This window comes from Homo sapiens, chromosome 15, assembly GCF_000001405.40.
Source record: "Homo sapiens chromosome 15, GRCh38.p14 Primary Assembly".
Lineage (NCBI taxonomy): Eukaryota > Metazoa > Chordata > Mammalia > Primates > Hominidae > Homo > Homo sapiens.
In genome coordinates, this window is record NC_000015.10 from 100518019 (window position 1) to 100542222 (window position 24204).

Consider the following 24204-nt stretch of genomic DNA (forward strand, 5'->3'; position numbering starts at 1 on the left):
TTCATCTCTCTGGCCAGGGCAGCTGCTCCCTCTGTCAGTGATCACCAGCCCTTGCTAACTACTCACCAAGAGAAAATAAATCGTAAGACCTCATACTGGAAAAAGGCTAGTCTTTTCTGTCTAGCCCTGTCTAATGCAAGAATCCTCTTAAAGAAAAAAATGTAAAACACCCCGATTTTAAATAGATAGGGGGTGACAGAGACAGAGAGATAGACAAAGACAAACACAGAATGACTGAGACAGAGAGAGGGACAAAGAGAAAGAGACAGAGAGAGACACACACAGAGAGTGAGAGAGAGAGACAGGGACACAGAGAGAGAGAAGGACAGAGAGAGAGAGAGCATGGCTCATACAGGATATCTGCGGTGCCTGGAACATTAGAGAATAAATTTCATTTATTCAATTTTTTTGATTAATGATTAAATCTATGACTGAATTTACAGATACTTCACTTGCAAAGATGTCTGGCAGAAAAAGTCTTGGGCATATTGTTTGAAAATGTAACATATTATTTAAAAATAAAAATTTCCAGACTTTTCAAATACACATTCTTTCAAAGGAGTATCCTTAAATTTCTGTCAATATGCATTTACACAATTTTCACGTCATCTCTCTGCCTATTAGTGAAAATCAGCTGGTGTGAATGTGAGACGATACTGTGCTAACATACACAGGATTTCCTAGCTCGACACCACACCAGGCACATTATCAGCTCCTTTTCCCTGGGGGATCAAACATGTGGCAATGTGATCTTCTGATTCTGCTCTATTGATCTTCATTTGGGGTCAATGTGTTCCTAAGCCTTCTTTTTAAAATGCTTTCTGTAAGACTTATTGGATATTTTATTTTAAAAAATTCCACCTGGCTGGGTGTGGTGGCTCATGCCTGTAATCCCAGCACTTTGGGAGGCCAAGGCAGGCAGATCACCAGGTCAGGAGTACGAGACCAGCCTGACCAACATGGTGAAACCGTCTCTACTAAAAATACAAAATTAGCTGGGCGTGGTGGTGCGCATCTGTGATCCCAGCTACTCAGGATGCTGAGGCAGGAGAATCGCTTGAACCCGGAAGGCGGAGGTTGCAGTGAGCTGAGATCGCGTCACTGTACTCCAGCCTGGGCGACAGAGAGAGACTCCATCTCAAAAAAAAAAAAAATCCGCCAAAAAATATACTTGGCCAAAGTGCTACTGTGAATCACACGTCCACATTTTGTGGAGGAGAACCCTGGAGATGAGACAGTGATTGAGGTGGACTTGGAGTTGAAGTGACCACTCTGACCCCCTTCACTCCCATCCCCACCTTCCAGCAGCAGCTCTGGGTGCTGTGTGAGGGGATTCAGAGTTCCTCGATGTTATTCATGTTCATGAAATTTAAATATAGATGTCTTTAGGTTGCTCTAAAGGAAAGAAATGTTCTGAAAAAAAAGTGAACGGAAGGGTCATATGATATTCAGCTTCAAATATACCAGCTACTCCCTGGAATATACATACGAAAGACACTAAACCTACATGGATTCTAAAAATATACCAAGAGACGCCACCCATCTGAGCCCCAGTGATGTCCTCTTGTTTGGGGAGAGGGAAAGCCTTGGATTGTTTCTCTTCCCTGCCCAGTGAAGCTGTTTCTCAGTAAATTGCTCTTCCTGCTAGTACACAAGGTTGGGAATGTTACTCATCTGCCATCTTATGAAATCCCAGCCACTCCAACCTTTGCCATGCTGCTAGGTCGATGTTTATGGAGCATGGAGGTGGAAGAAGAGCAATACTTAGATATTCCACAGCAATTCTGAAATTGCTCAGCCTTTGTCCCTCTGTCACACAACAGTCAAAGGTATGATTAAGTGCCAACTGTGTACCAGGACCCTGTGCTTGATCCTCAGGAGCAGCCCCACCCTTACATCTGGCTTTAATTTAAAAGAGCCCCCTTTGGCCCTCCTCTGGCCTCACTTCTCCCTTGGGTGAGGAGTCCATAGGTTCAAGGAGACATGTACACCCACATCCATGCCCCCTTTCCAGACTTGCTAGGTGATCAAGGATCCTAGAATTCCCTGCCTGAGCAGCTCTGAGCCCACTTCCAGGACCTGCATGGGCCCCTTTCTAGGTCTGTCCTCTTAAAAGTGACAGCACAGCATAATGCTAGGCCTGGAGAAGGCCCAAAGAAGACTTGGGGAGGGGAAGGCAGGGGACGTAGCATGCAGTGGCCACACACATGCACATCAGGCTCCTAGCAGAGCAGGACATAAGTGAGGCTGGGAGGAAAGACAGGGCCCAGCTGAGGGCTGGTGCCTCCATTTGTATTCTTGCCCTGTGTCCTGCAAATGTTAGGGGTAGGCCTGTCCACAGGGCCTTGGGATAGGTCTGAACCTCCAGAATTCCTGTGAATTCTGGAAGCCAAAGATCTGTTCGGGCTGTGTAGCCACCAGAGGGGCTGGTAGCATGACCAAGACAGAAGTCTTCATGTGACTCCTGAAGGCCCCGCTGAACTGCTCCTTCTCACAGCGAGCACTTTCTTTGTGAGCAGGAAGTATTTCTTCACTCTGTGGCTTATAATGCTTCCTCCTTCTCTTCCTCCCAGTAGGCTACCTCTTCACCACTGTCACCTTCACTAAAAAGCAGGCTGGGAAAATACATGTGTGATAAACTGCCTTTGCTGTTTAGCAAAACTTTTGGTAAGGTGTAGAAAATGACAGGCCCAAGGCAGAGTGTTGCCTTGGATGGGAGCCCCTTCTGCCTGAGCCCTCCACTGTCCCACTAGGAGTGGGCAGGGTGGGGAGGAGGGGAAGCTCTGTGTCAGCAAGCACAGCTGGTGCCGGGAGAGCATAGACCTGGGATCAGGCATCCAGCAGCATGAATATCCGGTTCTTGCAGGTCAAAACCGGGAATAATAATACCAGCTTTTCACAGACCGTTACAAAAAGTAAATAAGATGATTAAAATTATAACGAACAACTGTACATACCACAGCTTACAATGTTGCACCCACACTCATTGAATCCTTACAACAATAATAATTATGCATGCTTCCAATTTGCAGGTGAACAATGAAGTTTAGAGAGATAAAGTGACTGCTCAAGGTGATACAGAGCCAGACTCAAATTTAGGCATTAACGGTAAAAGTGCAACTCCTCCCCTCTACGTTACCTGACTTTGCCTTTCATCAAGTCAATATTTGCGAACATGCTTCATGAATGACTCTTCCTCGTACAAATGATGATTTTTTATCATTTGGGGTCATATTTTATGATTTTGAAGGAATGTGGTTTTGAAAGTTTCTCCTTACAGGTAAGACGCTGGAAGCTAGAGACCTGCCCAGCACAGCCAGCTCTTCCTTCCTTCCCATCAGAACAGCAGGTGTTATGGGGGTGGAAGACCAGAGCACAGACAGCAAATGCCACCCCCTGATGGCTCTTTGCTACCTGCTGCTGTCACATGAAGCTTTCTCCTGCATCTCCGCTTTCAAAAGGAAAGAATACAAATCTATAGTATTTCATAAAGAATAGCATGGTACTGGCTTTGCCCAAACTCCACTTGTCCCCAGAATATGCAAAACAATGCCAGATATCAACTTCTGAGTCACAGATGTTAATTTCCCAAGATTATAGTTAAGAAAACACAGTAGAGGTAAAATAAAATAAAATAAAGATAATTACCTGAGTATATATGATAGCTTTCTACTGAGGAACTCAAATACTGTATATATGTATATATATATAAATGTCAGCTTTTGTTTCACAACATCCCTAAAGAAGCAGAAAAAGAGAAACATAATTAATATATTACACAACTGTGCCCATAAGCGTCCTTCTATAATAGGTCTAAAACTTAAGTCAGAGTTTCAAACCAACGGGAGAGCTTGGTGCTGGCAAATTTGGGTCTACCAATCAGTTTGGACTGGTGCATGGGGCTTTAAAACAATTTGAGCCAACACTGAAAATTCAAGAATTTGCACATAGAAATCCAGATTTGCAGCTTCACTCAGAAACTCAGAAGACTGGCAAGAATCACTGGAGCCCTTAAATGGAACACACGCTTACCAACCTGGCCAACTGTTTTCAGGCACCTGACCGGCTTTCTAGGTCAGTTAACTTTGTGACTCCTTATGTTGCTAACATTTCTCAATATGAATTATGTCGTCAAGTCAGTGTAACTTGAACAGAGATAATAAGGGCCTAGCACAGCCTGGTGTAACAATTACAGTTTGTCATAGCACATGGGTTTTCAAAGGACCAGTTGTAAACCATTAGTGCACTGGTTCCCAACCCTGGTTCTACATGTGAATTCCTTGGGAGAGATTTTTTGACCATGCTTTCTACCTAACCAGATCAACTAAACCAAGATCTCTGAAGGTGCAGTCCTGGTATCAGTATTGTCACTGCTGTATTGTTACTGTAATATAATTATTGAAGTATAACATACAGATGGTAAAGAAACAAAGCACAAAAGAATATGACCAGCACCCCAGACTCTTCCTCATGCCTCTCCCTGTCACCACCATGGATCCGTGTTGCCTGTTCTTGAACTTTATGTAAATACGATTGTTTTGAGCACATTCCTGGCATCTGGATTCTTTCACTCAACTTTTAGAACTGAGATGCATCTATGTTGTTGCATGTAACAGTAGCAAACTCATTTTCGTTGACTTTTAATATTCCATCCCATGACTATATCACTATATCACGATCTGTGTTCCCATTCTGTTGTCGATGGAAATATGGGTTGTTTTGAGTTTGGGATTACAACACTTCAAGGTGCCATTTATGAACATTCTTGAACATTCTTGAACATGCTTTAGGTAAATACGTGAATGCATTTCTGTAGAACATATACCTGGGAGTGGAAACGCCAGGTCATAAGGCATATGTATATTCAGTTTAACAGATATTGCTGAACAGTTTTTCAAAGCTGTTGTGACTATTTACACTCCTCCCAGTGACGTATGAGAGTTCCAGTGGTTTAATATCCTTGCCAAAATTTCTATTGTCTGTCTTTTAAATTTTCACCTTTCTGGTGGGTGTGTAGTGGTACTTCATTGCAGTTTTAATCTGCATTCCCCAGAAAGCTAACAAGGTTGAGTATGTTTCAAGTCTCTTGGCTGTCTGAATATGTTTTTCTGTGAAGTACCTGTTCAAACCTCTTGCCCATTTTTCTGTTGTGGCGGTCTATCTTTCAAAATTGCCTTGTTTCTGTTTTGGATAGGACTCCTTGTTTGTTACATGCATAACAAGTCATGTTATATGCATGACTCCTTACATGTTATTTGCATGGCAAATGTCTCCTCTCCTGCAGTTTGTCTTTTACTCTTTTAGTGGTATGCTTTGAGAAACAGAAGTCCTTATTTTTAACATAACCAATTTACAGATCTTTTTCATCATGTTAGTACTTATTGTATCTTGTTTAAGAAATCGCCAAGTGTAGTGGCTCACACCTGTAATCCCAGCACTTTGGGAGGCTGAGGCAAGCAGATCACAAGGTCAGGAGATTGCGACCATCCTGGCTAACACGGTGAAACCCTGTCTCTACTAAAAATACAAAAAATTAGCCAGGCATGGTGGTGGGCGCCTGTAGTCCCAGCTCCTTGGGAGGCTGAGGCAGGAGAATGGCAGGAACCTAGGAGGCGGAGCTTGCAGTGAGCGGAGATTGCACCACTGCACTCCAGCATGGGCAACAGAGCAAGACTCCATCTCAAAAAAAAAAAAAAAAAAAAGAAATCACTGTCTACCCAAGGTCATACATATATTCTGTTTTGTCATCTAGAACAATGCTGTTCAGTAGGAAGAAAACTGGGAGTAACATATGTAATTTTAAATTTTCTAGTATTTCAGGTACTCAATAGCCACATGTGGCTAGCAGCTGCCATATTGGACAGTGAAGATCTAGAAGTTATATTGTTTTACCTGTCACATCTAGATTAATACTTAGAGCTGTATGAATTTTAAGATGAGAATCAAGACTCATTTATTTGTACATGGACATTCAAATGTCTGTCCTTTCCTGTAGTACCAATGTTGTCATAAATCAAAGGTCCAAATTTGTGGAGGTTTTTTTTCTAGCATCTTAGTCCATTCCATTGGTCTATTGTTCCCTAGTTGATTTTAATTTTCAGACAGTATTGAGAACCACTACCAGTAGGTCACAAAATTAATTAGTCGGTTATGACCAGAAATGTTGTAGAGTGTAATGAAATGAAATAGAAAACAATACCTATAAGTATTGTTTTATGAAACTATTATTTCAGAATTGTGTGTGTATATATGTCCTAAGTTGAGATCTGAAAAGTATTTCTTACTAACAGTAATGGTTAAAAACGTTTGAAAATCACTGCAATAGTGTAATCTACACAACAACCACTTAGGAAAATTCAAGTTGCATACGATTTTATAGTCATCATCTAGAAAAGCTCTGAAGTTTTACTCTTACACAATTAGTTATAGTCCAGAATTCCACATAAGGCGGATCTCTGTTGGAATCAAGCCAGGTAAAGCAAGTTACAGCTAATGGGATAGGAATAGCTCATTATGAAACCCTGTAACTTTGACCCAAAGTGGAATATAGTAATGATCCTCTGATGTGAACATTACAAATGAAAATTGCTAATCTGCAGAATTTGACATTTGTTCAGCATCAGCATGTTGTATGTTTTTAAAGTTTTTAATCATATGTCAAACAAGAAAACAAACTTTGAGGGGAAGAAATTGAAGCCAAGTTAGTTATTAAATGATGTCAAGTAATCTTCATTATTGAAGAAAATGTTTTCAGAATTTTTTGCTTAAATTTTGAAATGATTAGTTTATTGTTCAGCCTGTGTCAGGGTCAATCTAATCAACAAGTATTTATTGACTATCCAGTAAAATATGTCTGGCAAAGAAATCAAAATAAAACAAATAGACCTTATCCCAGCAGAGAATTAAATGGATTATCACATATGATTTTTCTTCACTAAGTACTTCATCTTAGAACCTGAATATAGTAAGTAAAAGTGGTTTCAAGCTCCTTAATGTAATATTTTACCTCTCCAAATAACCTAAATATATGCCTTACCTGTGAATTTTACACTTTTTCCATTAATGAGAAATGTATGCATCTTTTGGTTGTGTTTTCATATTATGCACATACACACATGTGTATGAATGTGAGTGTGTGTTTACCAATCCTGAGCAGACAGATTTGGGAATTTTGGTTAAATATCTTAGTTTCCTGGTATTTCCTAAATATTTAACTCAGAAAACAATAAAGAGGAAACTTTCCATTAGATTGAAACATATAATCCACCACCAGCACAAATCATCTCCACAGATTTTCCAGTGGGCAGGTAGGCCAAAAAAATAAATAACCAGAACCCTTTAATTTTATATTTAAGTAGCAGGAAGATACTCACAGATGAAGAAATTTTAAATTCTCATATTTGGGAAAGGTAAAATTTGTTTCATGGACATCCAAGCCAAATCTCCTTCTTATCAGAGCTATTTTCTATTTATTAATGGAAATTCTCAGCCTTGAAATTATGATAATAACAACCTTTGGAAGTGATCTAACTGAAGCCCATTTACAATTGAACATCTGTCCACCATCAACAGAAAGCCCTGTGGAGAATTGTGGCTGTTACAGTTTTGTTACAAGGTCAAAGATTCTTAATCTCTCCGTTCACTTGCCAATTGGGGTTTTTATACATAAGCCCTAATTTATTTATTTTAATTAGACTTTTAGCTTCATTTATGTTTTCATCATTGTAAATTCCAGCTACAAGGACAAATCTTAAGGCAGCACATACAGCATGGCTGTAAAATGATGGGCTTGATTGTTGCACAGGACTTAGGAAAGTAAGTCCCACTACTTTAGAATGCCTTCTTTCATACTGCCAACTGTCTGGTCTGTCTAGTGTTGGCACAAGGATTTTTTCAATCATCCTGGGTCCATCCAGTAAATAAAACCATAAACTCGGGCTGTATAAGATCAATTAGATCGTTGTATTGTGTGTTGAGGTGTTTCCAGGAGAAAGAAGAATCTACCTGCATCTGATTCCAGAGAGAGCTTCTCTGTGTTCCCCTCTGCTATCTCTCTGCTATGATCTGCAGTTTCTCTGGATTCAAACATAGAGATAGATTGCCAAAACACCATTCTTGATGCCAGCTGGCCTACTTGATGAACTTGACTGCAGGCTTTTTGCCAAAACATAAGTCAATCGTTTTTGTCCCAAATCCATCCTTATAAAGGTGTACACCTGCAGGTCAATCTTTGCATCGCATCCCATAAATTCGTGTTGGGGAGGGCTTGGAAAGTCCAAGCTTCTTGTGTGGATGGCTTGGGGCCCAAGATAAATGAACAGTTGCCACGATACACTCCGTGCTCTGTGAGCGGAGGGAGCTCCCTTGGAGCCAGCCCAGCACCCTCCTCCCATGAGCACTCTGCCAGCTCCTGGCAGTGCTTCTGCTGTGGTGTGGAGGCCAGGGAAAACCTACATAAACTGTGTGTGTGTGTGTGTGTGTGTGTGTGTGTGTGTAAAAACAACTTTCCTGGCCTACCACAACAAACTGACTTTTGAAAAAGAAGTATCTGATGTTCTTGCTTTTTGCTTGATTTTACTATGCTTTGGGGGACTTTTGGCATAGGACATTCATTACTTTAAGAGGCTGTTTGAAAGCTGGATCAGCTCCACAAAGAAAGATAATCACAAAGTGATTTCCCAAGAAAGTACACTAGGATATAAGGAACAAGTACCAGTGGAAAGGCAACTCCCTGAGGGCAGGGACTTGTCTGCTTTGTTCACTGGTGATACCCCCAATCCTAGAACAGGATCCAACATGTCAAGAGCATGAAGAAATCACTGCAAAATGGGGAAATGAATACTGTTTACCAAGGGCCTACCCTCTGTCAGGTCCTATGGAAGGCATTTGACATACCCTGCCTTTTTATGTCTTATAATAAACAACCTCGTTTGATGGATGTTATAATAATTATTTTATAAATAAGGAAACTGAGATTTGAAGAATTGCACTGAGGCCAGGTGTGGTGGGTTATGCCTGGAATCCTAGTACATTGGGAGGCTGAGGTGGGCAGATCACTTGAGGCCAGGAGATCGAGACTAGACTGACCAACATGGCGAAACCCCCATCTCTACTAAAACTACAAAAAAATTAGCTAGGTGTGGTGTCACATGCCTATACTCCCAGCTACTTGGGAGGCTGAGGCACGAGAATCGCTTGAACCCAGGAGGCAGAGGTTTCAGAGAGCCAAGATCATGCCACTGCACTGCAGCCTCAGTGACAGAGCAAGACTCCATCTCAAAAAAATAAAAAAGGAATTTCAGTGACTTGCCAGGGTCATAGTTAGTAAGCAGGATGCAGGAATTTGAATTTTGATCTGTCTTTCTAGTCAATGTTCTGTCCACCACACCAAGCCTTCCTCCAACAGCAGAAGCAGGTGATAGATTGATTGATTGATTTTGGCCTTTTGTTATAAGACACCAAATTCGAGTATTTGAATATTATCATAGCTTCAGGAATCCCTCCACACAAGGACCCTGTAGGGGGTTAATGGAATAGAATGGGAATATAGAATGAGCTGAAATCATATATCTTAGTGTGCAGAAATGCAATAAAGCTGTGGCTTTCTCACATCCCTACTGTACCACTGTAAATCTCACTAAGCCTCAATTCCTCGTCTGAAAGTGGCGTATCATGAGCCCTAAAGGGGAAAATGCACGTACACACAGCAAGGACTTAGTAAATGTAGATTATTATTAGCCCAGAATGATCTTCAAACTTATGTAAATCAATTTGATTGATATTTTAGAAAAAGGCAGAAATATTGTGAATGAGAGGGCCACATAATTATTACCTTTTTGAACATATACATATTTTCTCTTTAAAGAACTTTTTATCCAGAAATTCTACTGAAGAAATTATAAATGGAAACCCCTTTTAAGAAAAACAAAAGGCTTGTAGGGGGGAAGGCAATGAAAATGTGAAGTTTAAAGTCAAACACTCACTTAAGGTAGAGAAGGCACTTGAACATTGTGGGTTAATGAATAAATTAAAATTCATTATCTGGTCAGCCCTAAAGCTTTATTTCCCTTGTTTTGTGTAAAGGTTTCAAAAAAATAAAAATGCTTAACAGAACATTCTTGCTAAACATTTGCTTGGATCAGAAAAAGTAGTTTGATTTTGTTTCACTTTTCTGCATGAGACTGGCAGCCTTAGAACCGAACAGCTAATTTCTCCTGGCATGACATTGAGCACTACATCTCTCAAGACAGAAGCAGCTTAGGAAGGCCTGCCACTGTGGGGTGAGCAAGTCCCACCTTGTTCTCAGCTTAAGGCACTCTGGGATGGTCTGAAATGGCCTTTGCCACCTGGCAAAGATCTGTGCTGACCCCTTTCATTCCACCTGGATTCAGGGCTTTCCTGATAAACCAAGCTATGCTGAGCATTCAGCCGTGTGTGATTTCACTGCCCAGACCTTTCTTCCTAACCCTCAATGAATCAGTTTAAACTCGCCCGAGAGCAATGCAGGTCAGGAGTGGAAGTTTGGACTCGAAATTTACCCTCTACTACTAAACACTTCCAAGCAAAACTCTACAAAGCAAAGGGCCCCAAGTCTGTCTTTTCTGTATTTCTCCCAAACATCAGACCAAAAATGAACATTTCTTCATTTGTCCGCCTCTCCCCCAATCTCCATCTCCTCTCCCTCTCTGTTACGCACCCAGGCACACATACACACACAAGCTCACACGCGGAATCACGGCCACCTTGGTTTTGAAAGTCCTCAAATACTAACCACATCCATGGGATGGCGCCTACCTTTCTGAAATGTCAGTCCACAAAAGGTGCCCCTTGCTTGTGAAGTGTAGTCAGAGAGCAGCTTCCAACGTTCCAACCAGCTTCGTTCTCCTCAGAGAGCAGCACAACTCATCTCTGTGTAAGACCTGAAATTCCTTCAGAGACCCACCCTCCAAAGTTGCGAGTCAAGATTTCTGACTGAGGGCAGTCAGTGACGTGAGGCGAAGCTACTGGATGGCACCCTCAGGTTCTTCCTGATGGGATGTTGCTTCCTGTTTCACCACCTTGAGAAAAGAAAGCTGGAATTCAGTGAGACATTGAGTTACAAATGCATCAGTTGCCTCATCGTTGTTGCCTTTTGGTGCACACAGTCATCTGTCAACTGCTGAACAGGATGATCTTGCTGTTTGTATTAAAAGGAAAGGGCTTATGCGCAGAGAGAACCCCAAAACACCAGTCACAACCCTGTACTGTCCTAGGAGCTGGTTCGACAAGTATAGTACTCTCCAGAAAACAGGCAGGGCTTCTTACTAACTAAATCACCACCATGCCACAAAACTCATCCACTAAGGAGCATTGGTCCACAGGAATGTGATTTCTCTGCCCGCTTCCTAGGAATTGAGAAAACGATCAGTTTTTTGAAGCATATAACTGCCAAAAAATACAATAGTCTGGCAATCTTTTCTTCTTAGAACAGTCAGATATAATTCGCATTTTTATTTGTTTGTCTCTAAGAACAATCATCATAGACAAAGACAGACAAGCTCATTAGTATCAGGAAATAAACATTGTTGCTTGTCTCTGTGTGCTTGAACCACTACAATTTCAAAGGCAAGTGTGGATGCATTTTATAGTGTTTATTTGAGATATTGTACCTTTGAAGCCATTTTCACTTTCTCTTGCCTGAAGATGAAACAACTCTGGGCTTGGATTATTTAAAGGTGCTCTGACAAGTAGAGAGCTTCAACAAGTTGATTCCTGTATCTCTCACAAACCAAACATCAGCAGTACCGCCCACACTGAGAGCCTGATTCTCATTAGCTGTCTTCAACTGCTGAAAGACATTTTTCTTTTTTCATCAGCTAATAGATGACCGCAAATTAAAAATGGACTAGATGCAGATAAAGGGAAACACCAGTTTCAAATTCATTAAAGCTCCAAAGTTTCTCAGATTTCACTAATGAATTTAGTTCAAAGAGAGAGGATTGATAAACGCCCTTCCTTTCACTGGGTACTTCTCACTCAGGGCTTCCCGGTCTGCCTTTCTCTTCGAAGACGTTCTGTTTTTCAGTAATGGGCTCATGCATTTTTAAAACCATCTGGCAGAAGGGATGAATTTAAAGCAGACTTGGCCACTAACCGAGGTAGGCTCAGTTCAGGTCTGCCTCACCTTCTGCCAGGAGACCACTGCAGAATTGGTTTCCTGACATGAGGCTTCCATCTTCATCCAATTGTCACCTAACTCACATTCCCATTCTCATTTCTTTTTCTTCTGCTGATTAAACTCTACCAGCCACCTTCTACCTATAGGATCAAGACCAGACTCCTTGGCACAATGGCCTGCTCGCAACCTGCTGCTCCAGGACTTCCTTTTGCCCTTTCCCACTAGATTCCAGACACAACAGTGGGCAGCTTCTGGGCCCTTGCCATGAGCTGCTCTCTCGCCTCTGTGCCTAATGAAAGTCTGAATCCTGCTCAAGCTTCCCTAGCCTCGGCCCTCTCTGTTCTGTGGGTATACCTTTATTGCAACACCTACTACTCTATCACAACTTAACTGATTTTTGTATCTGCTTCCCCACTACTTTGGGAATCCTCACTGGACAAGCCTTAGATCTCTTTCTACCCCTGGAGCTCAGCTGTTCAATACTGGTCAAACAATTAGTACCCAAAATAGTGATCATCCAACACTCATTTTCACTCCGGGGATATCTCGGGAAAAGAATGTCCTGAACCCTATTTTGGACTCTCTTACTCAGAATTAAACAAGCCAAAAGAATATTGGGGAACCAGGCTGGGAACAGTGGCTCACACCTGTAATCCCAGCACTTTGGGAGGCCGAGGTGGGAGGATCCCTTGAGGTCAGGAGTTTGAGACCAGCCTGGCCAACATGGTGAAACCCTATCTCTATTAAAAATACAAAAAATGAGCTGGGCATGGTGGTGGGCGCCTGTAATCCCAGCTACTCGGGAGGCTGCGGCAGGAGAATTCCTTGAACCCAGGAGACAGAGGTTACAATGAGCCAAGATCACTCCACTGCACTCCAGCCTGGGTGACAGAGTGAGACTCCTGTCTCAAAAAAACAAAAAACAAAAAACAAAAAAACCAATATTGTAGAACCACATGTTTTCATGCTTTGTTTTAGTTACTTCTACAATGAAACACATGTTATTTGCTGATAAAATATAATGTTCAAATCAAATCGGAACTATTTAGACATAGTTCTATAACTCCTGTTAATCAAAAGAACCCCGTCAGCATCTGCTGTCTTTTTTGAGTCACTGTCAAGGTGTAATTCTTCCCCCTTCTTCAGGGGCAAGATGTAAAAATGAGGCTATTGCACAACTTGTGCTAGAGGAATGAGAGTGAGGAACTCGGAGGGTTTGCTGGTGAAGACTTTGTGGGAGCTGTGGGAGTGAGGAACTCGGAGGGTTTGCTGGTGAAGACTTTGTGGGAGCTGTGGACCTATGTGTAAGTCTAGTCATCTCCACAGCTCCTCTGAGGAAAATAACCCAGGGCAGGAAATAGGCTGTGTGTGGAGTTGAAAACAAAGCAAATATGGTTATCTCAAGGATTCCTAAGGTGATTCCTTTTTTCTTCTCTTTCTTACTTGTGCCTCACCATAAATGTATCAGTGCATTGCTAAGAGAAAAGATAGAACCCCAGGAAGCATTAAAGGAAAGAGCAAGATGCATGCACGTGGGTATCATTTCTCCTAGGTAGTACTTAGCTGTTTCCTTTTATGAGAAAACGGAAGCAGTGAGTTGAGACATTAAATCAGTTTTATATTGCGAATCCTCATTAATAGATATTAAATCACTTATTAGCATGTTAATGATTCATTGCATTTTAAAAAGTGAACGTCGGACCTCTGACAAATGAAATGTAGACAATTAAGCATGACAGTGGAGAGGTGTTGTCGGGAGCAGTAGGGGTGCATTACAAAGCGGGTACCGGGTGCCTTTCACCTAGTAAATTGGGAAGGAGAGGGATAGGAGAAGTGTAGACCAGAGACAAACCCAGTCAAGGTTCTGGAGAGCCACTTAGGAACTAGAAGAGGAAAACACAGTAAGCCGGATGCAGGAAAATTGAGTCTGGGCGCCAGCAGCAAGACACAGTGCCAAAAGCTCTCCTAGCCAAGGGCAGAGGTCCCACAGTTGCATGGGTGTAGATGGGGAAGAAGGGGAAGCGGGCAACTTCTAAGCTGCATTTTATGCTTTCAGCCGATCCTTAACCTAATTTCGTAGAGAAGAAAACGTAAGAATCAACAGGCTTTTCCCTCAAAGGAAGGAATCCCTTCCAAGAAACTTAACATATACAGTTTTTGCCCTATTGTTCTTAACCTAACCGGCAAAATTTTTGAGATTTTACTATCAACAAACTGTTTTCTTCTCATGTTTTATCTTATCATTTTCATAGACGTTTCAAATGCTATTTGTCCACAGACAGAAATTTAAGTCAAAATGCTACCAAACTGCCAGGTGCGATGGCTCATGCCTGTAATCCCAGCACTTTGGGAGGCCAACACAGGAGGATTGCTTGCGTCCAAGAGTTCAAGACCAGACTGGGCAAGATGGCAAAATCCTGTCTCTACAAGAAAAAAAAAAAATAGCTGGGTATGGTAGCTGTGATCCCAGCTACTTGGAAGGCTGAGGTGGGAGGATCACCTGAGCCTGGGAAGTCAAGGTTGCAGTGAGCTGTAATCGGCCCAATACACTCCAGACTGGGCGACAGAGTAAGACCAAACTGCATTCTTTAAAGAAGTGTGTGGAAAAGCTCCTGTTGGATAAAATGAAACAAGCAAATGTCTTCACAAGTGGTTCCCCACTACACTGGGAATTCTCAAGGGACATGACTTAGCCATCTTCATATCCCTGGATCAATACCTACCCCGCTCAAATGTGAAGCCTATGTCTTATTGTCATAAAGTCATCTCTCCTCCCTGCCACAATGATGCCTCTAGATCCCCACATGGATTATAGGATGAGAGGACCTGAACTTCATCTTCCCTTCCCCGCTCCACTCCGCTTCCACACTCATCCTGGCCCAGGGTTGAAAGTCTCTTTGCCGGATAACCTGAGAGGCCACTTGGTGAGAAAGTGAGAAAACTGAGGAGAAGACCCTCTGCTGTCAAATTAGTCGGGAGGACAACTGCTTTCCTGCATCCAGACTCACCTGGGGGCCTCCCTCCCTACAAACTCCAGCCCCTCTCCTGCTTCATTTTCCTCCACGTCACCTGTCACCTTCTAACTTACTGTATCTCTTATCTGCCTCTCCCCCACGTAAGCTTCAGGAGGACGGAATTTTCGTCTGCCGTGTTCAGTGCTAAATCCCCAGGGGTTAGAACAGTTCCTGGCACAGAGTTGACACTTGATGCTGACAGAGTACATTTATGTATCTATATATTTGCCATTGTGTCTCTTCCTCTCTACCACAGTAGGTAGTTACTTTTTGAGGACCAATTCATTGGGTTCTTTTCTTTTCTTTTCTCCTTTCTTTTCTTTTCTTTCTTTCTCTTTCGTTCCTTCTTTCCTTCCTTCCTTCCCTCTCTCTCTTTTTTTTTTTTTTTTTTTGAGTCTCGCTCTGTCACCCAGGCTGCAGTGCAGTGGCGCAATCTCAGCTCACTGCAACCTCCACCTCCCGGGTTGAAGCGATTCTCCTGCCTCAGCCCCCCAAGTAGCTGGGATTACAGGCACGTGTTACCACCCCCAGCTAATTTTTTTGTGTTTTTAGTAGAGACAGGGTTTCACCCTGTTAGCCAGGATGGTCTCGATCTCCTGACCTCGTGATTCACCTGCCTCGGCCTCCCAAAGTGCTGAGATTACAGGCGTGAGCCACCATGACCAGCCCACTGGGTTCTTTCAAAACTTGAAGTCAGTATGCTGTGTCATGAAGGAGGTCAGCTCTACTCTGAGTTTGCTGGGAAATAGGGAGATTTTTCCCTTGAAGAGTTTAGTCAATACTGAGAACTTCATGCAAAGGAGTCTTAGAATTAATTAGCATGTACTCTGGGAAGGCTGCAGTGCTGTATGCAGGCCAGACCATGTCACCATGTGAGCAGGCTCTCAACACGACTGTCTCTCTCAGCTCACCACTCCCTCTGAGGGCTGGCCAGATGGGTAATGGCCATTTGTGAATACAGCCCCTGGTTACAGGTGTGGCTGTCAGTGATGGGACAGGACAGGACTCAACTTGCCTCCTCCAGAAAATGTTCATTGCTAACCCTCAATACCATTTTGTGCTCACTATGTGACCTTATTCTTTTTAGCTGTGTGACTCCAGACAAGTCACTTAACCTCTCAGTCCTCAGGTTTCTCAACTGCAAAATGAGGAAAATAATAGTGATACTTACAGAGTTGTAAAAACATTGAATGAGTTAATATATTGAAAAGCACTTAGAACAATACCTGGCTCAGAGCAAGCACAGTGTGAATGTTAGCTGTGATTATGCTTATGATGACTATAATGATTATTAGTATTGTCAAAGGAAAATAAATCTTGGGGCCCCAAAAATCACTAAGCTAAAGGGAAAAGAAACTGGAAATCGCTTAGGGCAAACCTGCCTCCCATTCTATTCAAAGTCACTCCTCTGCTCACTGCGATAAATGCACATCTGATGGCCTCATTTGGAGAGGCTAATCAGAAACTCAAAAGAATGCAACTCAAATTGCTTAGGGCAAACCCTAAGCAATTTCCAGTTTCTTTTTCCCTTTAGCTTAGTGATTTTGGGGCCCCAAGATTTATTTTCCTTTCACAATACTAATAATAATTATAGTCATCATAATTATAATCATAATCACAGCTAACATTCACTCTGTGCTTGCTCTGAGCCAGGTATTGTTCTAAGTGCTTTTCAATATACTAACTCATTCAATGTTTTTACAACTCTGAAATTTGTCTCTTATCGACCTATGACTTGGAAGTCCCCTCCCCACTTCAAATTGTCCCACCTACACCTCAAGTTGTTCCACCTTTCCAGACTGAACCAATGTACATCTTACATGTGTTGATGTCTCATGTCTCCCTAAATTGTATAAAACCAAGCTGTGCCCCTACCACCTTGGGCACATGTCTTCAGGACCTCCTGAGGCTGTGTCATGCAAGTGTGTCCTCAACTTTGACAAAATAGACTTTCTAAATTAACTGAGACCTATCTCAGATTTTGGCATCCATAGTATATTTAATTAATTTTATTTTATTCTTATGTTACTTTGTAACAGACTTTATTTTATGCATATAGACTTAGTTTCTCCACTTAAATTTTGAGTACAAGGATTGTGTAAAGTTTCCAAGTTGCAGGCATTACTGTTCTCTGAACATAGTGTTCAGTCATTAACTCATTCAGCCAGTATTTACTGGGTTCATACCATGTGCCAGGCACATCACATCTTTTGAAGGAGCTAAGGATGTCAAGAATAAAAATATAGCATGACTGCCAAAACAGACACAAGCACACACTCACACAGATGAGCAAAAGTGTTCACACAAGTGCAGAAAGAAGTATCCATATGTGCACGGGAAGTGGGGATATGCCTATGCTCATATGTAAGCACGATTAGAAGTATCCATATGTGCACGGGAAGTGGGGATATGCCTATGCTCATATGTAAGCACGATTAGAAGTATCCATATGTGCACGGGAAGTGGGGATATCCCTATGCTCATATGTAAGCACGAATTAGAAGTATCCATATGTGCATGTGAAGTGGGGATATCCCTATGCTCATATGTGCACGGGAAGTGGGGACATCCCTATGTTCATATGTGCACGGGAAGTGGGGACATCCCTATGCTCATATGTGCACGGGAAGTGGGGACATCCCTATGCTCATATGTGCACGGGAAGTGGGGACATCCCTGTGCTCATATGTGCACGGGAAGTGGGGACATCCCTGTGCTCATATGTGCACGGGAAGTGGGGACATCCCTGTGCTCATATGTGCACGGGAAGTGGGGACATCCCTGTGCTCATATGTGCACGGGAAGTGGGGACATCCCTGTGCTCATATGTGCACGGGAAGTGGGGACATCCCTGTGCTCATATGTGCACGGGAAGTGGGGATATCCCTGTGCTCATATGTGCACGGGAAGTGGGGATATCCCTGTGCTCATATGTGCACGGGAAGTGGGGATATCCCTGTGCTCATATGTGCATGGGAAGTGGGGATATTCCTATGCTCATATGTTAAGCATGAATTAAGACCACAGAGAAGATTGACTCTCAAGATTTACTATTTCATATCCCACGTCCATGAAGTAATAAGTTGTGCATTTTGTTTTTTATGCTTGTTTTTGAGACAGGGTTTTGCTCTGTTGCTCAGGCTGGAGTGCATCAGTGTGATCATGGCTCACTGCAACCTCAACCTCCTGGGCTCAAGGGATCCTCCTACTTTAGCCTCCCAAGTAGCTGGGACGACAGGCACATGCCACCATGCCTGGCTAGTTTTTGCATTTTTTGTAGAGACAAGGTTTCACCATGTTGCCCAGGCTGGTCTCGAATTCCTAAGCTCGAATGAACTGCTCACCTTGGCCTCCCAAAGTGCTGAGATGACAGGCATGAGCCAGCATGACTGGCCTAAGTTGTGGATTTTAAATGAGGAGCTAAGACTACATAATATGAAATTAGGAAATGGACAGAAGTCGGCAGATAAAGTTTCCACCTCCCCAAATAACCAATCCCGTGACTGTCTTAGTCTGGAAGATAGAACTTAGTAGCTTCAATATCCACAATTCCTTTACTGAACACTGGGCTGGGCACCTCAGTCAATGTTCCATGTGCTTTGAATATATTTATATGAGTTGCACCACCACTAAACAGATAGGAGGAATAAGGAGGTAAAAGGGTGATGAGTGTCTGAATAATATCTGGGCTGTTGATAACATGTCATATCTGAACAGGACAATGAGGAAACAAAATGCTTCTTATTCACCTAGCCATCATTCATCTGACACATGTATTGCACAAGGTGCTTGAAATACAAAGATGAAGGCAATGTCCCTGATCTTAAGGAGATTATGACCTAGCTTTTCCCTCTTCCTCCTATTCTACCACCTATCCCATATCCTACCCTGCCACTTGCTAACACAGAACTGGGAGAACTACTTGGGAAACCTAGGACACTCAAGAAGGGGTACTCTCTCTTCAGCCTGTGAATTCTCTAGTGGGATTTTTAAAAAAGCACAAGGGGGTGCCCTGTGAAAAACACAAGCTAGGCTAAGGTTTGTAATGTCAGCCAACTATGACCCATTCCCAAGAAAAAGACACTCACACTGTCTGCCTTCTCATTAACAAAAGATTTGGTTGTTCCAGAGGGCATTAGAGAAATGTAGACCAAGCTTGAGATTGAAGTGAGCATGTGTAGCATTGTGGCTGTTTGGCAGTGTATTAGTCCATTTTCATACTGCTATAAAGAACTGCTTGAGACTGGGTAATTTATAAAGCAAAGAGGTTTAACTGACTCACAGTTCAGCATGACTGGGGAGGCCTCAGGGGACTTACAGCCATGGCAAAAGGTGAAGAGGAAGCAAGGCAGCAGAAAGGAGAAGTGCCAAGCGAAGTGGGGAAGAGCGCCTTATGAAACCATCAGATCTCACCAGAACTCCTTCACTATCACATGAACAACATGGGGGAAACTGCCCTCATGATTCAATTACTTCCATCTGGTCTCTCCATGGACATGTGAGGATTATGGAAATTACAATTCAAGATGAGATTTGGGTGGGACAACCAAACCATATCATCTGCCCATGGCCCCTCCCAAATCTCATGTCCCTTTCACATTTCAAAACCAATCATGTCTTCTCAGTAGTTCCCCAAAGTCTTAATTCATTCCAGCATTAACCCAAAAGTCCAAGTCCAAAGTTTCATCTGAGACAAGGCAAGTCCCTTCCATCTATGAGCCTGTAAAATCAAAAGCAAGTTAGTTACTTCCTAGATACAATGGTGGTACAGGCATTGGGTAAACACACCCATTCAAAATGGGTGAAATTGGCCAAAACAAAGGGACTACAGGCCCTATGCAAGTTGGACATTCAGCAGGGCAGTTAAATCTTAAAGTTCCAAAATAACCTCCTTTGACTCCATGTCTCACATCCAGGTCACACTGATGCAAGAGGTGGTTTCCTGTCATTTTGGCCAGCTCTGTCCCTGTGGCTTTGCAGGGTACAGCCCTGCTCCCAGCTGTTTTCACAGGCTGGCATTGAGTGTTTGTGGCTTTTCCAGGAGCACAGTGCAAGCTGCCAATGGATCTACCATTATGGGGTCTGGAGGATGGTAGCCCTCTTCTCACAGCTCCACTAGGCAATGCCCCAGTGGGAATTCTGTGTGGGGACTCTGACCCCACATTTCTCTTCTGCACTGCCCTAGCAGAGGTACTCCATGAGGGCTCTACTCCTGCAGCAAATTTCTGCCTAGACATCCAGGCATTTCTATACATCCTCTGAAATCTAGGCAGAGGTTCCCAAACCTTGATTCTTGACTTCTGTGCACCTGCAGCCCCAACACCACATGTAAACTTACAAGACTTTGGGCTTGCACCCTCTGAAGCAATGGCCTGGGCTCTATGTTGGTCCCTTTTAACCATGGCTGGCATGCAGGGCACCAAGTCCTGAGACTGCACGAAGCAGCCAGGCCCTGGGCCGAGCCCACAAAACCATTTTTTCCTCCTAGGCCTCTGGGCTTATAATTGGAGGAGCTGCTGTTAAGACCCCTGACATGCCCTGGAGACATTTTCCCCATTGTCTTGGTGATGAACGTTTGGTTCCTTGTTACTTATGCAAATTTCTGCAGCCAGCTTGAATATCGCCTCAGAAAATAGTTTTTTCTTTTCCATTGAATCATCAAGCTGCAAATTTTCTGAGCCTGTATGCTCTGCAATTCTTTTAAACATAAGTTCCAATTCCAAACCATCTCTTTGTGAATGCGTAAAACTGAATGCCTTTAAGAGCACCCAAGTCACCTCTTGAACACTTTACTTTTGAGAAATTTCTTCCACTAGATACCCTAAATCATCTCTCTCAAGTTCAAAGTTCCACAGATCTCTAGGGCAGGGGAAAAATGCCACCAGCCTCTTTGCCAAAGCATAGCAAGAGTCAACTTTATTCCAGTTCCCAAGAAGTTCCTTATCTCCATCTGAGACCATCTCAGCCTGGACTTTATTGTCCACATCACTATTAGCATTTTTATTAAAGCCATTCAACAAGTCTCTGAAATGTTCCAAACTTTCTCACATCCTCCTGTCTTCTGAGCCCTCCAAAGTGTTCCAACCCCTGCCTGCTACCTAGTTCCAAAGTTGCTTCCACATTTTTGGGTACCTTTATAGCAGCACCCCACTCTCTGCAGTACTAATGTACTGTATTAGTCCATTTTCATACTGTTATAAAGAACTGCTCAAGACTGGGTAATTCATAAAGGAAAGTGGTTTAACTGACTCACAGTTTGGCATGGCTGGGAAGGCCTCAGGAAAGTTACAATCATGGTGGAAGGTGAAGAGGAAGCAAGGCACTTTCTTCACAAGGCAGCAGGGAAGAAAAGTGCTGAGTGAAGTGGAGAAGAACCCCTTATAAAACCATCAGATCTCAGGAGAACTTGCTCACTATCATGAGAAGAGCATGGGGGAAAGAAGAGCATGATTCAGTTACTTCTACCTGGTCTTTCCCTCGACACATGTGGATTATGGGGATTATAATTTAAGATGAGATTTGGGTGGGGACACAAAGATTAACCATATCAGGTAGGCTTGGTCACTCTTTGATCATTTCAGACCCTCTCAAGGGGAAGATCAAAACTGAATGCATTTCCCCTTATCAGTTGCTTCTGTGACATCAAAGCATCCCAGGAGAGCTGGCCATCAGTGAGACTGAAAGTGGTGCTGAGATTGCAGTCCTAGGAGGCTGTTTCCCTTCCCTTTCTGGTCCTGAGGGGGAGCTGTCCTCCTGCTTGCTATTACCAAGTAATCTCAAAACACAGCCCCCATCAAATTACTTTCTTGCTCCAGAAATATGACTTCTTTATGCTGATTACATTAAATCTAAACTTCTAGGATTATCTATTTCCTAAACCACCCTCTGAAGTTCAATCCCTACCCCATGTGCCCCACCTTACTGTCCACCAAACCCAATACTATTGTCCCCTTTGGTTGAGCCCACTGGCTATGATCACTCTGACCTTGGCTCAGGCCCCATCTGTGATCCCTTGTTATCCAAGTCCCATCCCTTTCCTCTGGGAAACTGCTTCTCAGATTAACCTTTCTTGTCCAGGCGCAGTGGCTCATACCTGTAATCCCAGCACTTTGGGAAGCCGAGGTGGGTGAATCACCTGAGGTCAGGAGTTCGAGACCAGCCTGGCCAACATGGCAAAACCCTGTCTCTACTGAAAACACAAAAAATTAGCCGGGCGTGGTGACAGGCGCCCGTAATCCCAGGTACTTGGGAGGCTGAGGAAGGAGAATTGCTTGAACCTAGGAGGCAGAGGTTGCAGTGAGCTGAAATCGTGCCATTGCACTCCAGCCTGGGTGACAGAGCAAGACTCTCTCTCAAATAAAAAAAAATTAACCTTTCTCTTCCTAAACTCTTTATGCTAATTATCCAAATTACACCATTAGCCCCATTTTATATGCAGCCTTATTCTTTAACAGTATAGCACAAACTGCTTCTGCAATACAACTTGATCAGAGTTGCGTGTGGCACACGTGTACCTATGTGCGCGTACAGGTATGTGTTCTGACTCCAGTAAGCTCTTCATCCTATGAGCCCAGATCTCACCCCAGAAACACTGTTGGGTTGACAAGAGACCCTCAAATGTATTAGTTAAGAGTGGATAACACACTCTTATCTGAGGATGATATCAAACTCTGAGCAGATTATGTCTCTCCCCCTTTGTTTCAAGCTACGTATACTTTCTCCTGCTGTTCTTCCTTCTTTCTTTGGTGTTTTCATGTATTCAACAATGATTTACTATGCACTTTCTATGAGTCTAAAAATAGAGAAATCGCAGTGAACAAGGCAGATACCGTCCCTGCTTTCCAGCTACTGAGAGTCTGTAGCTTTGGTTAGAAAAAGCTAGGGCATCCCTGAATGCCAGCAGACATTCACTGTCCCTCTGTGGGGGTCTATCAACAGATCAGCTGAGCTACGTGGCAAGCAGCAAATGCTGGGGTCCAGTATCTTGGAAGGCACTTAAGAGATATGAAGAAAACCATAACTTACTAAGTTGGTTAAGCAGTGTCCCTCAGGCGGGTGGATCACCTGAGGTTGGGAGTTTGAGACCAGCCTGACCAACATGGCGAAACCCTGTCTCTACTAAAGATACAAAAATTAGCCGGGCGTGATGGCGCATGCCTGTAATCCCAGCTACTCCTGAGGCTGAGACAAGAGAATTCCTTGAACCCAGGAAGCGGAGGTTGCAGTGAGCCAAGATCGTGCCACTGCACTCCAGCCTGGGTGACAGAGCGAGACTCCATCTTAAAAAAAAAAAGTGTTCCTCACTGGCTTTTACTAAGACCTTAATAAGGAAAAGGAAACTGGAAAGAAACTGGAATCTTTGTTTTTTTAACCTCTGTTGTACTGGACCAGTTTTGAATTAGAAATTTAGATGTGAGCTAGCCTGTTTCTTTGTTGGGTGCTGTTTGAACGTGTTCAGTAAGACAGGATGATTTCTATTCACTTATCTTTGTTCAGACAGATGACTCATAGCTTCCCTGAAATAAACTTGCCAAAAATTAGTCTCTTATTAAAAAATGGAATAAAAATTAAATTTACTAAAAAGTAGTAACATGTCACAATATTTAGATAAATAAATTATAACGTTCATTCATTCATTTGTGGAGCTCTCATCAAAGCAGTTATGACAACAGTAAGTATGGTAAAAATAAAAATAATTTGCTTGATCCTGTTAAACTCTCGGCAAGGCCTATTTACAAAATGGGATACTAGTCATTTACAATTAAATGTCTGGAGTAACCATTAGAGGATAAATGGTACACCAGGAAATTATTTCCTAGAAATATGGTCCATACTTTCAGCTATTTAAATCCTTAAAATCAAAATCAACCAATGAATCAATCAAAATAGAAAATATAAAACTAATTATTACAATAAGCATTAAGTGCTTCAACCTTTGCTCAAAATTAAAAAAAAATCTTTTATCAAAACTGAAATGAAAATTATCTGACTTGTTAATAATGAAACCCCTTCAGCCTCAGGAATGAACTATTA

The 24204-nt window shown here is 42.7% G+C and overlaps 1 protein-coding gene across 9 annotated transcripts in view; it reads right to left on the reverse strand.

Moving 5' to 3' along the window:
- Positions 1 to 24204, reverse strand: part of CERS3 (ceramide synthase 3) — a 144289-nt gene that overhangs the window by 117624 nt on the left and 2461 nt on the right. For 6 of the 9 annotated variants that reach the window (NM_178842.5, NM_001290343.2, XM_011521357.3 and 3 more), the window contains exons 2-3: positions 10795 to 11057; positions 3649 to 3738 (exon numbers count right to left, since the gene is read on the reverse strand). The gene's annotated coding sequence lies outside the window, so the exon portion shown is untranslated. Of the gene's footprint in view, positions 1 to 3648; positions 3739 to 10794; positions 11073 to 24204 lie in introns of those variants that run through there. The other 3 variants (XM_017022002.2, NM_001378789.1, XM_017022004.2) reach the window with 3 other exon arrangements.